Genomic DNA, 15,166 nt, shown 5'->3' on the forward strand with positions numbered 1-15,166 from the left:
CCCTAGCTGGTGCCTGGACAGACTTTCAGTTAACCCTAGCATTGCCTGTCCCTTCTCATTTCCACCCTACATGGTCAACTCATCCCTAAGTCTCTCTGGGGCTCCAAAGTGTAGGTCAGCTCCACCTCCTCCCCAGTCCTTTGCAGGCATCATATTCTGTTCTGAGGCTTCCTCCACTCTGTTTTATCCATCAGCACACCTCCTTTGCCTTTCCAGCTTGGGGAAATGTTTAAATCTCCTACCCACTGTCTGATCCACCTTATATCATCTCTGCTGTGATGGGTTTATAGTCGCCCTTTAATGGGATCTCTGAAGGGAGACACAAACACAAGTCCTCAACCCATTATTTGGAATAAAATATCCTTTATGCTTCATTTGTTGTATTTCCTCCCAGACTTTTTTATAGCCATAAGTTTACGTTTCGCACCATACTAATTTCACAGGAGATTCATAAGTTTTCAGAAAAGAAAAGGGAAAAAGTACAGACAAATAACTTTGGAAAATTTCTCCCTTTTAGAAATTCACAGTACACATTAGTATAATAATGCGTCAGTCAATATTCAGAAATGCGAGCAGCAGAAACTGCCTCAAACTGATTTGAGGAGAACAAAATTTTACTTAAATAACACTAAATTCTAGTATTCTCAAAAAACTGAAATAATTCTAGATTCAAGAAGACTAGAGAACTAGGGTTTAGAAGGTGGGCAAGAACAAAGGAAAGTTACACAAAGAGAAATGCCAAAATCACACCGCCAAAACAGCCTGGTGAGGACCTTGGCATAGTCACTCTGAACACTGAATGGCATGGGCACTGAGGAATGTGGCTGGCCCCTGCCAGGAAGGGTTCCCCAGCACCTCTGCTTCCGGGGGTAACCAGCCCAGCTCCAACTCCCAGACAGGTGTATCTATCCGACTGGTGAAGCCACCAGGGAAGAGAAAAGGTAAGGAACTGGGATCATCCGCTTCTGCTGTAGGAGATGGACACTGCCTGATGAGACGAGAAAGTCCACACATGGAAGATGAGGGTCCAGGAGCTGGGTGGCCAAAAAGAAAAAATATCCAATAAGGCACTGAGAAGACTTGCCAAAATGAAATGGTTTTACATGGTTTTGCTTAGATTTTCCTAGCCTTGTTTTACCAGATCCCTTTTTCTGGAACAATTATTCACAAACATCTCATAGAAAGTAGTGTTCTACAGAAAGCAATATGAGAAATGCTGTCATATAAGTTTAGAGAAATTGTTACCATTTTTACACAAAATTGGAATTACACTGTACATACAATTTTGCATCATTTAATGTGTAACAGCATATAACTTACCTGTATATCAGTTAACAGAGCATAGTTAATTTTCTTTTCTCTTTTTTTCCTTTTTTTTAAGAGACCAGGTCTTGCTCTATTGCCCAGGCTAGAGTGCAGTAGCTATTCACAGGAGTGATCCCAATACTGATCAGCACAGGAGTTTTGACCTGCTGCATTTCTGACCTGGGCCAGTTCACCCTCCTTAGGCAACCTGGTTGTCCCCTGCTCCCAGGAGGTCACCATATTGATGTCAAACTTAGCGTGGACACCCAATTAATTGGCATAGTGCACTGCAGCCCAGGACTCATAGGCCCAAGAGATCCTCCCGCTTCAGCCTCCTGAGTAGCTGGAACTATAGGCACGCACCAGCACACCCAGCTAATTTTTTATTTTTTGTACAGACGGGGTCTCCCGTCTGGTTGGCCAGGCTGGTCTTGAACTCCTGGCCTCAAGCGACCCTCCCGCCTTGGCCTCCCAAAGTGCTGGGATTACAGGTGTGAGCCACTACACCCAGCCTGTTTTTCTTTTTAATACTTCCTCACCCTTTCCTTTGCTTTCTGCTTTCATTTTATGTGTCCTGTTTTGTTTTATCAGATGCTCTGGTTATTTGGAAAACATATTTTTCTCTCCATTTTCCCTGCATGTACTTTAAAGATTTTCAAAAACATTTTTACAAATATTATTCTAATCTTGAAAATTAAGAATAAATGTATATCCTTTTATTCTCCTCATGTAAAATGAGGAAATTAATACACTTTTACTCTTTCTCAATCTGCTTGCTACTTACTGGTGTCCAGCAATATGGCTTGTGACTTAAACTCTGATTCTTGCTAATTCTTTTTTCTTTTTTGAGAGGGAGTCTCGCTCTGTCGCCCAGGCTGAAATGCAGTGGCACAATATCGGCTCACTGCAACCTCCACCTCCCAGGTTCAAGCGATTCTCCTGCCTCCGCCTCCCGAGTAGCTGGAATTACAGGTGCCCACCACCACACCCAGCTGATTTTTGTATTTTAGTAGAGACGCGGTTTCACCATGTTGGCCAGACTGGTCTCGAACTCCTGACCTCAGGTGATCCTACCACCTCGGCCTCCCAAAGTTCTGGGATTACAGGTGTGAGCCACAGGGCCCAGCCTGATTATTGCTAATTAATTGTATTTTCATTTTATTTTTTCTTGAAATAATTATTTTTTAAGCTTACAGTAAATTTTATTATTATATTTCAATTATTTAGATCTAACAGTATGTTTAACCAGTTTTATTGGTTTACCATCAAGAATTCTAAGTCACCATTCCAGAATTCTTAAAATTTTTATTCATCTTTTAGCCAGTCTTGAAGTAATTTACTTCAAGAAGAGAACATGATTCTTTACTTCAAGAAGAGAATATTAGGGACCTTTGTATATCTAGGGATATTTTTCTGGTGTCCTCACAGATGGCTAGCTGCTTAATTATGTTTATGCAATTCTGAGGCACAACCTTTTCTTTCCTCAAAAACTGAAGATTTTGCTTATTTGTAACTTCTAAGAAATATGAGATTCACTTGAATTGCTCTTTTATAGGCAATCTTTTTATTTTCCTTTGAGCAATACTTTTGCCTGAGAGTGTCTAGGCATATCTGTGTTTTTATACATTTTGCCTGGGTTGCAGAGAGCCCTTTTGGTCTACACAAAATCTATGTGGTAGATGCTACAGCTCTAGAGAAAGTTGGCATTTGTTGTGGCTATTTACCTGCTGTCCATGCCTGTTGTGACTGACATCCAGCAATGTTGATGGACACTGTTAGGAGCTACTCTTATTGTAACAATGAGGGTGCCATGCACCACTCCCAGTATTCTCTTTCTTCTCTCTTACGTCTACTTTCTGCCCAATGATCCTTTATTCTCTTGTTAGATACAGAAATATTGGGAAGACCAAGGAAGAGCTCAGGGCTCTGGCTGCCTTATAGTGATAGGCAGATAGGAAGGCAAACACTAACATTAAATTAAATTAAATTAAATTAAATTAAATTAAATTAAATTAAATTAAATTAAAATATAAAATAAAATAAGCCCTACAAGGAGTTGTCTGTTTGGTAGTAACCCTATGTAGCCAGGAAGCTCCATCTTGCCCAAGTTGGGGCAGGGGATGGAAGACTACCCCTTCCATGCACCACCACCTCCCTCGGTTTCCAGGCCCCACCACCCATGTGGGCCTTTGGTGGGTGGGATGGGAGGCTCAGTGAAGTGTCCAGGCCCTATGTTCCTCCTGCTGGCACTGATCAGTGCTGGGAGGGCCATCTCAGGGCTAGAACTGTTCTGTGAGCTCAGTGCTCTCAGCTCCTGCCCCCACCAGTCGTCCCATATGGATTGGCTGGGGTCATGGTAGGAAGCTTAGGGAACGCTTACATATGCTTCCAAATCTTTATTATCTTGCACCTCTACCCTGGCTTTTTAAAATGCAAGCACCAGGACGGGCACAGTGGCTCACATCTGTAATCTCAGCACTTTGGGAGGCCGAGGCAGGTGGATCATGAGGTCAGGAGTTCGAGACCAGCCTGGCCAACATGGTGAAACCCCGTCTCTACTAAAAATACAAAAATTAGCTGGGTGTGGTGGTGCGCACCTGCAATCCCAGCTACTCGGGAGGTTGAGGCAGAAGAATCGCTTGAACCTGGGAGGCAGAGGTTGCAGTGAGCCGAGATCATGCCACTGAACACCAGCCTGGATGACAGAGTGAGTCAGCTCCGTCTCAAAAATTTAAAAAAAAAAAAAATTCAAGCACCAAAAGTGTGACACCTGTTTTTTCTGGTTCTTCACTAACCGCATTCACTAAAGCTGCCAGTGACGCTGGTCCAGCTGCCTGGATGCAGGACGGGCTCCAGAAACCATTCAGTGAAGCCTGGTTGGGAGAGAAAACACAAAGGGATCCCCACACCCTGTCTCTGGGCCCTCCCAGGAGCAGACCCTGTAGGACAGCAGTTCTCAAAATGTGGTCCCCAGAACGGCAGCAACAACGGCACCTGGGATCTTACTAGAAATACAGAGTCTCAGGCCACCACAGACCTGCTTGTGTTAGGACCTCTGGGATAGGGGCCCAGAGATCTGTGTTCTAACAAGCCCTCCGGTGATCCCAGTGCCCACTCAAGTGTGCAAATTACTGCGCAGTTACCAGGTGTCCTCCCACACTTTCACGGGCTGTAGAAACTAGTCTAAGAGAGAACGGAGCGCAGAGCACTGACCCAGGGTCTTCATATTTCCTTGTGCTTGCTGTTTGTTGGGCTGGGTAGTGTAGACATTTTGCCTTACTCCCTACCTTCAGGAGCCATTTCACAAGAATATGATGGTGTCACGGTCTGTGGGCCAGGTGCCTTTTAAATTGGAAGCTCTCTTTTAAGACTCAAGGCAGCTTTATAGGATAGATAATTGTATCCCATTGCTATGGCTTGAATATTTGGCCTCCCTAAAACTCATGTTGAAATTTAATCTTCAGTGTGGCAGTACTGGGAGATGAGGCCTGCAAAAGGTGATTGGGTCATGAGGTCCCTAGCCCCACGAATCCACTAATCCATTCATTCATGGATAAATGGATTAACGGATTAATGGGTGATCATGGGAGTGGGATTGGTGGCTTTATAAGAGGAGGAAGAGAGACCTGAGCCAGCGCACTCAGCCCCAGCACCACTTGATGCTCTGTGCTGCCTCAGAACTCTGCAGGGAGTCCCCACCAGCAAGAAGACCCTCACCAGATGCAGCCCCTTGACCCTGGACTTCTCAGTCTCCAAAACTGTAAGAAATAAATTCCTTTTCTTTATAAATTACCCAGTTTCAGGTATTCTGAAGCACCAAAAAACAGACTAAAACACTAGTTTTTCAGCTGATGAAACTAAGTCTCACAGAAGTTAGCTGCTCTTTCTAAGTCAAAGTCTAACTCCCTGCTGCCTTCTGCAATGCCATACTGCCTCACAGTGGCACTGCCATCTCAGCCTGGCACCAGATCACCTGGGTTTGCAACTCAGCCCTGGCACCAGCCCTGAGGCATGGCCACAGCTTTTCACTTCCCTGAGCCTCTGTTTCCTTACCTGCAAAATAGGGGTAAACCCAACCTGCCCAACCCACCTACCTCCCAGAGTCATTTGCAGGGCCAAGTGGGAAAAATGATCTTAATACAGTATTAATCTTTCCATTTCCCCAGGTGTGTGTGTGTTGGTGGAAAGCAGTGGTACAAGTGTGGGCAGAGGACAGTGACTCGAATAGTGAGGCAGAGGAGAGTCACCAAGGGTACATGTTGCTATGACATAGTGTCAACGTGGGGGCTTCTGAAGGGATGTCTTAGTGTTTTAGATATTTTGAGGGGAAAAACTCCTCTACTAAGACTCACTTCAGAGAAAAAGAGAAGCTGACCAGGTGTGGTGGCTCACACCTGTAATCCCAGCACTTTGGGAGGCCGAGGTTTGTGGACATCACCTGAGGTCAGGACTTCAAGACCAGCCTGGCCAATATGGTGAAACCCCATCTCTACTAAAAATACAAAAATTAGCCAGGCATGGTGGTGTGAGCCTGTAATCCCAGCTATTCAGGAGGCTGAGACAGGAGAATCATTTGAACCCGGGAGGCAGAGGTTGCAGTGAGCCAAGATTACACCACTACACTCCAGCCTGGACGACAGAGTGAGACTCCATCCAAAAAAAAAAAAGAAAGAGAGAGAGAGAGAGGGAAGAGACAGAGAGGGAGAGAGAGAGGGAAGGAAGGAAGGAGAAAAAAGGAAAGAAAGGAAGAAAGAAAAAGAAAGAAAGGAAGAAAAGAAAGAGAGAGAAAGAAAGAAAGAGAAAGAGAGAGAGAAAGAAAGAAGAAAGAAAGAAAGAAAGAAAGAAAGAAAGAAAGAAAGAAAGAAAGAAAGAAAAGAAAGAAAGAAAGAAAGAAAGAAAGAAAGAAAGAAAAGAAAGAAGGAAAGAGAAAGAGAGAGAAGCTGGGTGCAATGATGCACATCTATAGTCCCAGCTTCTCAGGAGGCTGAGCTGGGAGGATCACCTGAGCACAAGAGTTCAAGACTGTATTGTGCTATGATCTCACCTATGGCTAGGCACTGTACTTCAGCCTAGGCAATACAGCAAGACCCTGTCCCTAAAAAAGAAAAATAAAATAAGAGAAAAGAGTTCACAGCACTGGATCATACAGGGGTAAATGCCAAAACTCATATAATGTCCCCTGGCTTCTAGATGCCATTGATGCTCCATCTCTCTTTCTTGGGAGATCTTGCACTCTCTTGCATGCTAGGAGGGCTTCTGTGTGAGACACAACTTTGGTCATTCACTGGTAGCAATCCAAAGGAGAGAGGACATTCTTTCCCTCACATCCTTCCCCCAGGAAGAGGCCATGATTGGCCCAATTTAGTGTAGTGCCCACCTCTTCAATAATCATTGTGGCCAGAGTGACATCATCACAAGAGCTAGATTTGAGGCTTGGAAAAAAGAGCCCTCTGATGGGTCATTTGTGTAAAGTTGGTACTTGTTGCAAAAGACCCAGAGAATGCCATTTCCTCAGAACATTCCAGAGGATGTCAGCCTGGGGGCTGTTTGCTGAACAGGCCCCCAAGTTTCCCCTCACGTTCTCAACTTTGTCTTATTGAAATTCCAGCATACCTACCTGACATGGTGTATTAGTCCGTTTTCATGCTGCTGACAAAGACATACCCAAGACTGGGAAGAAAAAGAGGTTTAATTGGACTTACAGTTCCACATGGCTGGGGAGGCCTCAGAATCATGGTAGGAGGCCAAAGGCACTTCTTACATGGCAGCAGCAAGAGAAAAATGAGGAAGAAACAAAAGTGGAAACCCCTAATAAATCTATCAGATCTCGTGAGACTTATTCACTATCATGAGAATAGCATGGGAAAGACCGGCCCCCACGATTCAATTACCTCCCCCTGGGTCCCTCCCACAACACATGGGAATTCTGGGAGATACAATTCAAGTTGAGATTTGGGTGGGTGCACAGTCAAACCATATCACATGGTCTCTAAACTGTCTTTAGGAAACCATATCACCTGGATCCAACCTCTGGGTTCCAAATTCAATTTCTTCTCAGCTACAAAATCCTTCTTGCTACATCACCCCTGTACGCACAGCCACATGGCACCCAGGTCCACATGGGCAGTGAGCCACCACCTCTCATCTGCTTCCTCTGTCACAGGACTACAAGGGGCTGAGCAAGGTAGGCATGGTCAGGGTGCCAGGCATCAAGGGACAGGGCTATCGGATCAGCCGGGCCTGTGCTGTGACAGGTAGGAGTGAGGCAGTATGATTGGGAGCACCACCAGCACCACTAAAAATGGGGAGAGAAAGTTCCGCTAGGAATGGGGTTATCAGAAATGGGAAGAGACGGTGGTCAGACCTGTGTGGGTGAAAATGAATGCAGGAATGACACCAAAGACCGGCTAGCTTCCACAGCCCTTTGCAGGATGCTCTGAACTTGCTGAGCCCTTTCACACCCGCCACCTGGTCCCTGTTGACCCACCAGCTGTATGCAGCTGACTATCTTCACCAGCTCCTTGAACAAGAATTTCCATTTCCAAGGCCAGGGTGGGGGAGGCTGCAACATTTTTTGCCAGAGAATCCAAAGAGCACATGAGTCAGCTGCCTGGGTCAAGGCCCAGATCCCTGTGGCGGGTCAGCCAGAGAGCAGGAGCTGGCCCTGAAGAGGGGAAGGGGGAAGAAAGAAACCCAGAGGGCTCAGAGAGCACAGGACCCTGCCCACGTGGGCCACTCTGCAGAGGCCAGGCCCAAGGCTGAGTTGGGCCTCCCACACAGACATGGAATGAGAAGGCTGTCAGTGCAGGACAGGGTGAGGACACACTCAGCGGGCACGGCTTTCTCCCCTAACAGCCACTCCACCCAGGGGCCAGAAACTGACTTCACCTCTGCACTGAATTCCTCCCCCCATGTCTCCCTCCTCCCACCCATCTTCCTCCTGGTGCTTCCAGCAGAGCCAAGAAGGCTTCGCCCCACCTACTCCCCTCCTGCTGACACGGACCCCCCACACACACACCCAAGGAACAGGAATACCAAAAATGATACTACCAGAGTGAAGCGTGTCCTGCAGACATTATCTCTTTAATCCTAACTATAATAGTCCCTATTTCAGAGATGAGGCAAATGTGAGAGAACAAGTAACTTTCCCAAGAACACACAACCAAGAAAAAAGAAAGCCAAGATTCAAGTGCAAGTCTGCCTGGGGGTCTGGAGCCGGCTCCCCTGCTGCCCCCTGCCATCCCTCCCTTCCACTCCCACAGCCCCATTTTCCACCCAGAAGCCCTCCTGGAAGCAACCCTCACCCCCGGGCCCCGTTATTCTAAGTCCAGTTGTTCACAATTCATTCTACAAGCCCTCATGTAATGGAATGCTAAAATAGAACTTTGTCACCAGCTCCTTTTTTATGTTGGTCTCAAAGCTGGGGACAAAGGGCATTAAGTTTCTATATATTCTTAAGAGAGGCTTTTGACCATCTATGGAGAAATTTCTAGGTGGGAGGTGAACCAAAAACACAGTTCAGTGACTTTATCTACCCCTCACCTCAAGGAAGGGAAAGGCTGGGGACTGCTCAGAGAGGGCGGGGTGAGGGCGCCACGTGCTGCCCGTCCTCACCTCCACGAAGGAGGGCAAGTTTCCTCCTTCCCCCTTCAACCAAGTGAGAGGAGCTGTAAGAGAACCCCTCAGAGAGCGTGAGCTGTGTCCTGTAGAATTGGGGGATACAGGAAATTCTTCCTGACTCACACCTATAAAAGTCCAAAGGCAAGAGGCTGCCTGCCCCAAAGCAGATGAGGAGGGGTGTCTGTGAGAGGCCTGAGGCTGAAGCCGATTGATGTTGGAGCAATGCTGGGGTCCTGTGGCCAGACAGGGATCCCCACAAAGGGAGCCTGCCTACAGGACAGGGCCACCCCGCAAGGAGTCTGTGTGGAGACTTCTCCTGGAAGCCAGGGGCAGGGGCCGGGAGGCCACCTGAAGAAGGCAGCAGCTACATCAGGAGATCATGAGCTGGGGAGCCCACCCCAGGGGTCAGCGTTCAAGCATCCACCACCCAAGGAGGCCACCAAGGCCAGATTGTAAACACGCCAGTGAGAAGACCTTTGTGAGCACTGCCTCTCCTCCTGCTTCCCCCACTTACAAGAGCCAGAGGACACATGGTGTGGGGAAGGAGAGCTGAAAGGACAGAGGGGAGACAGTGAAGAAGCTACCCACATGCCCTTCCCCGCTGCAGGGCAAAAGCCAGTCCAGGCAAGAGAGGGCCTTTGAGAAGACGAGATTGAACTTCAGGCCGGACTTTTCACAGCCTGAAAATTGAGGCCTGGCCCTGCGCGGTGGCTCACGCCTGTAATCCCAGCACTTTGGGAGGCAGAGGGGGTTGGATCACGAGGTCAGAAGATCGAGACCATCCTGGCTAACACAGTGAAACCCCATCTCTACTGAAAATACAAAAAAGAAAAAATGAGCCAGGTATGGTGGCACGCGCCTGTAGTCCCAGCTACTCGGGAGGCTAAGGCACGAGAATCACTTGAACTCGGGAGGCAGAGGTTGCAGTGAGCCAAGATCGTGCCACTGCACTCCAGCCTGGGCGACAGAGTAAGACTCTGTCTCAAAAAAAAAGAAAAGAAAAGAAAAAGAAAAGAAAATTGAGGCCTAAGATTGACTAGAAAGGCTATGGGACCTGTCAAGATTGCATCCAGGAATAAAAAAAAATAAGAATGTGAGTTTATTGGCATGCATTTGAAGAGAATTGAGTTTTGTTTCCAATTGCACATCACCATGTCCTGGGCACTCAACAAGCCGGTAGTGATTAGTAAGCACCTGCTGTCCTCCAGGCATGGAGCTGGGTGTGAGGGACATAGCAGCGAATCAGCACCCTGGCTTCCTCATCAGGACTGAGCCCTCATTGCCTTCCTGAGATCATGACTGGTGGACACCCTCTGCCCAGCACCTGCAGTCTGAGACCTGTCTGTTGGGCCTGATCTCAAGTATTCGATCCACCTCCTTGCCTCAGAGCTGAACTCATCTTCCAAGATTTGTGTGGGTCAGAATACAACGTAAAAACACCTTGCACAGGAACTCTCTCCCCTGCCCTTATTCCACAACCCTCCACAATGTGAAAGTATGTTCATCCATCCCGCAAAGATTTACTGAGTACCCACCATGTGGCAGGTCCTGTGCTAAATGAAGACGAGGGTGGCACGGTCCCTCACACTGAAGAGCCTTTGGTCTAGATAACAGGAGTGGGGGGAGTAGAAGAAAGGCGAAGTGGAGGGGGACAGGCTTGTACACTGATCCTTTCACTAGGGTGTGCTAAGGGCAACTGTAGAGGACTATATTGGGTACAATAGGAGAGAAGAACAGGGACCTGAGATGTCACCAAGGAGGTCCCATTTGAGCTAGGTATGGAAGGCTGGGGGTGGAGGAGGATACAAAGAGACAGAATAAATTGCATGAACAGATCATGGAGGTGCAAAAGGGCATGGCAAGATCAGGAGACCAGGCAAGTGTCTGGCATGTGTGCCATGCTCCCTCTTTCTGCCAGCAGGGGGTGTCCTTAGCAAACCGCAGGGAGGCCGGTGCATTTGGCGCCATAGAAATGGGGCTAGTGGATGTTTTATCCCCACTTTGGTGCTTGGCAAACACCACTCACCACAATAATCAGTATTTCTACACAAAGGAAGCATATCCCCCTATTAATACAACTTCAACATCCTCTTTGTAAAATATTAATACTGGCTTTATTATGCTATGGTGCATTTTGTTTGTTTCCACTTTAATCTTTCAAACATCATAATCTGTTATTCCTCTGCCTGAGCCATCAGGCCAAATAACACCTTGCACTCACACGTTGTTATAACCCCAAACTTCTCTACACATAACTGAAGCAAAGGTTTCTTTTGTCTCTAAAAATATCTCTGCCCAAGGCACAGATCCAGGCCTAGGGAAGGGGGCAAATTGATGAAAAAATAAACAGAAGAAAAGACTGAGGCAAAATTGAGGAGGGCCTTGGGTGCAAGCCTGAGGAGTTAGATCTTGTTCTATGGGCATTATAGGAAGTCAATATAGGATTTTAAGCTACAGATCAGTTTTATTAGCAAAAAAGGCAAATGTTTTCTTTTTGTTGTTTTTGTTGTTTGGTTGATTGGTGCTATTTGAGAGTGAGTCTCACTCTGTCGCCCAGGCTGGAGTGCAATGGTGCAATCTTGGCTCACTGCAACCTCCACCTCCCAGGTTCAAGCAATTCTCCCACCTCAGCCTCCAGAGTAGCTGGGATTACCGGCATGCATCACTACACCCGGCTAATTTTTGTATTTTTAGAAGAGACAGGGTTTTGCCATGTTGGCCAGGCTGGTCTCGAACTCCCGACCTCAAGTGATCCACCCTCTTCAGCCTCCCAAAGTGCTGGGATTACACATGTGAACCACCGCACCCAGCCCAAAGAGCCAAATGTAACAGCAATGTGGAAGACAAATTGGGAATGAGAAGTCTAGCTCAGTCTTTTCCTTACAGGGCAGGGCTGCCCATCACTGGGACAATGTGACTTGAGATTTGACCCTAAAGAAGAGCAGAGGGGTCTGGCTTCTGCTCCAGCCAGCTGTTGTTCAAACATCTGGCCATCAGTTTCTCCCTTGGCAATCCCAGCACTCTGCTAGACCCCTCAGGCCTCTCCGCAGGCAAGACCACGACGATTGGAGACTGGGTGGTCAACAGGGGGAGCCAAAGGACCGGTAGTGGCAGCCCAAGGCTGGCCCGGTCTCCTGCCACGTGGAGGAAAAGGTAGATGCCAGTGTCCAGGGCCCGGGGCAGCCTGACCCTGTGGGCTCCCTCATTCCCAGGCCCAAGCCCTGACCTCAAATGGGAGAACCAAAAAAAAAGGTGGGGGGAAAGTCTCATTTTTATTCCCAAATTTGAGGCAGGAGGCTGGGGAGATTGACACCCACACTCCCAGATTTTTTTTTTTAAGGTTCTCAGTTTCTTGGAAAGTTTTTTTGTCTGTTTGTTGTTGTTTGAGGCAGAGTCTAGCTTTGTATTTTTTTAATGGTGCTTTTTGATTAACACAAATTTTTCATTTAAATGCAGTAAAGCGTTTTCTGGGCTATGTTCTTTTTCTTCTTGCTTAAGGAAACCTTCACCACCCCCAAGGTCATAACGATCTTTTTCTATATTTTCTTCCAAACATTTTAAAGTTGTTTCTTGTTTGTTTTGTTTGTTTTGTCTTGTTTTGTTTTGTTTTTTAGAAACAGGGTATCACTCTGTCACCCAGGCTGGAGTGCAGTCTCATGAACATGGCTCACTGCAACCTCGACCTCTGGGACTCAAGTCATCCTCTCACCTCAGCCTCCTGAGTTGCTGGGACCACAGAAGCAACCTCACCAGGCTAATTTTTTTTTTATTTTTTGTAGAGACAAAGTCTCACTATATTGCCCAAGCTGGTCTCAAACTCCTGGGCCCAAGTGATCCTCCCGCCTCAGCCTCCCAAAGTACTAGGATTCCAGGTGTGAGCCACAGTGCCTGGCCTCTGAGAGAGTTGTTACTCACCAAATTCAACAGTTTCCTGATCATTCATTGCATATGGTAGATTTGTATTTTCCTAAACTAACACTGTGGCTCTGAGCTGCACACAAAGGGCACCAGTCAAAACATAAAACATAGTCCAGCGCTGAGCTCCAGCCACAGAACAATCTGTAATAACTCACACTCTTAATAACTTCACAGCTAAAAGCGGTATTTATTAACGTATTTGCACAAGCAATCTGTAACTAGGGGGAGGAAAGGATACCCAGGATGTCAAGAAGTAAGGGACATTAGCAAAAGTTGAACATCAGCAGGAAGGATCTGTGTGTTGTCATCAAAATGGTAATTATGCCTTCATAGGAAAATTTGGTAGGAAAATAGTAATGCCTGTTTTTGGGGGAAAGGGAGGTGTGCACTAAAAGGAGTTTGGACCCATTCCTGGGAGTGGTTTCCTCAGGACAGACTATTAGTAAGTCTCTTCCCTCACCTAAGAGACTAAGAGCAGGCACATGGGGCTTTTTGCTTGGCTGGAGATTTGAAATTTTTGTGTTTTATTTGATGTTTTGCAGTGTTTTTCTAATTTTTTTCAAAATATATTAAATACACAGTTCCAGTGTTTTTTAATGCAATAAATTCTGAAAACATTTACATATAAAACAGGTATTCACCCCAGTATTTTATTAATGCAGGAAACAAATACCAAGATACAGGTATTGACATTTTGCTCCCATAAAACAACCGCTAAGAATGAGCCCTCCTAATCTCAACGTTTTTCTGTTGCTACAAGGTTTTCTGTGTGTTTACTCTCCACTTTTATTTGAGATTCAGAGGGTACATGTGCAGTTTTGTTACAAGGGTATATTGTGTGATGCTGATATTTGGAGTATGCTAACTGTCCTATCACCCAGGTAGTGAGCAACCACTGAAGTTAACCAACTTTAACCAAAACAGCATGGTGCTTGTGCAAAAACAGACACATACACCAATGTTGCTATAATCAAAGCTGCAGTTAGGACAGGGCTTCTGGAGTGGAGGGATGAAAGCAGCGGGGTCGGAAGTGGGTGTATCCTGGGGGAGCCAGGAAAGTACAGAAGGAAAGGGGAGTCTGCAGTGGAGGACATGGGACAAGCCAGACTTGGAGAATTGCCAGAGCATGGCATTTGTTGTCGGGTGTGCTGGCAACAGGGCAAGAGCAAGAGAAGGAACCAAGGCCTTGGTGGGTTCCCAGGAGACAGGGTAGAACTAGGCCTCATGGCTGACCCCTCAGCCTTCTCACCATCAGGACCTGAGGTCCCAGCTGGTCCCTGCTCAGGGCTTCCTGTGAATAGAAACTTCCTTCTCTGCTCCAAGCACCCACCAGCTGCCAGCCCAGTGAGCAGTGCCATCCAGTGGCAGTCAACACCCTAATACAGACAACACGTGCACACTAGGAGAAGTTTTCCATTGCATCCCTAGGATAACTATACAACCAAAGGGCACCCCGGACACCTAGTGGGGTGGTGGAGAGGACCTGCCTCTGATGCATATGGTGGAAGGGGCAGATTCATGCCATTGGGTCAAACAAAAGCAGTAGAATGACAAACGGTACACTCTCCATGAGTATAACAATGCAAAAGCCAGACACAGGGAAGATAACATGAAAACCCAACTGGAAATCACTGTTAGGATGGTAGAATTTTGAATTTTTTGTGTTTTTATTTTTGTATCTGTCATGGCGTCTTTTCAAATTTTCTAAGTTTATTGCCCCACGCAATAGACTTCCCTTCTCTCAAGAAAGGCCAAGCTGACTGCCCACCATAGAGGGCAAATCTGCTTGCACCCCAACCACCAGCCCCTTGTCCAGGAACACTCACATCCTCCCCAGGCGGCAGGCTTCACCGGGCGCCTTTCACTCCATGCCCGCCCTCCCAAACCCCATCCAGCTCCATCACTTCTCCCTCTGCCCAGATCCTCCTAGAAGTGTCCCAGGCAGCCTCTCCCCCTGACTGTTCCCTCGTCCCCAGGTGTTCAAGATGAACAGATGGTCCAAGGAGCAATGGATTCATTTCTCCACTATGCTGGGCTCAGCCGGCTCGACTCTATTGTTTTTCTTATTGTTTTCTTCAAAATAATAACCACACAGGGTGACAAACTGAATTTTACATTCTCTTGTTCCACCCCTCCCTACCCACAGTCCCTGTGGCAAATTTTTTTTCTTTTTTTTCCATTGTTGAGGTCAGGTTTTAGGATACCACAGTGACAAGACTGACGGGGCCCTGCCCTTGCAAAGTCCACAGTCTAGATGGAATCTTTGTTGTTTTGTTGGTTTTTTGGTTTTGGGGGTTTTGTTTGTTTGTTTTTGTTTTTGTTT

At 46.8% G+C, this 15,166-nt stretch overlaps 1 pseudogene, besides 1 other annotated feature; it reads right to left on the reverse strand.

Annotated features, from left to right (window-relative positions):
- Window positions 1,380-1,681, reverse strand: RN7SL44P (RNA, 7SL, cytoplasmic 44, pseudogene; annotated as a pseudogene).
- Window positions 10,711-10,760: an enhancer, noted in NCBI's record as "active region_1744". NCBI's record gives its function as "activates an Ori minimal core promoter by ATAC-STARR-seq in GM12878 lymphoblastoid cells {active_cell/tissue: GM12878}" and the evidence as "EXISTENCE:reporter gene assay evidence [ECO:0000049][PMID:35858748]".

The sequence above is a fragment of the Homo sapiens genome, chromosome 1 (genome assembly GCF_000001405.40).
Source record: "Homo sapiens chromosome 1, GRCh38.p14 Primary Assembly".
In the NCBI taxonomy this organism is placed as follows: Eukaryota; Metazoa; Chordata; class Mammalia; order Primates; family Hominidae; genus Homo; species Homo sapiens.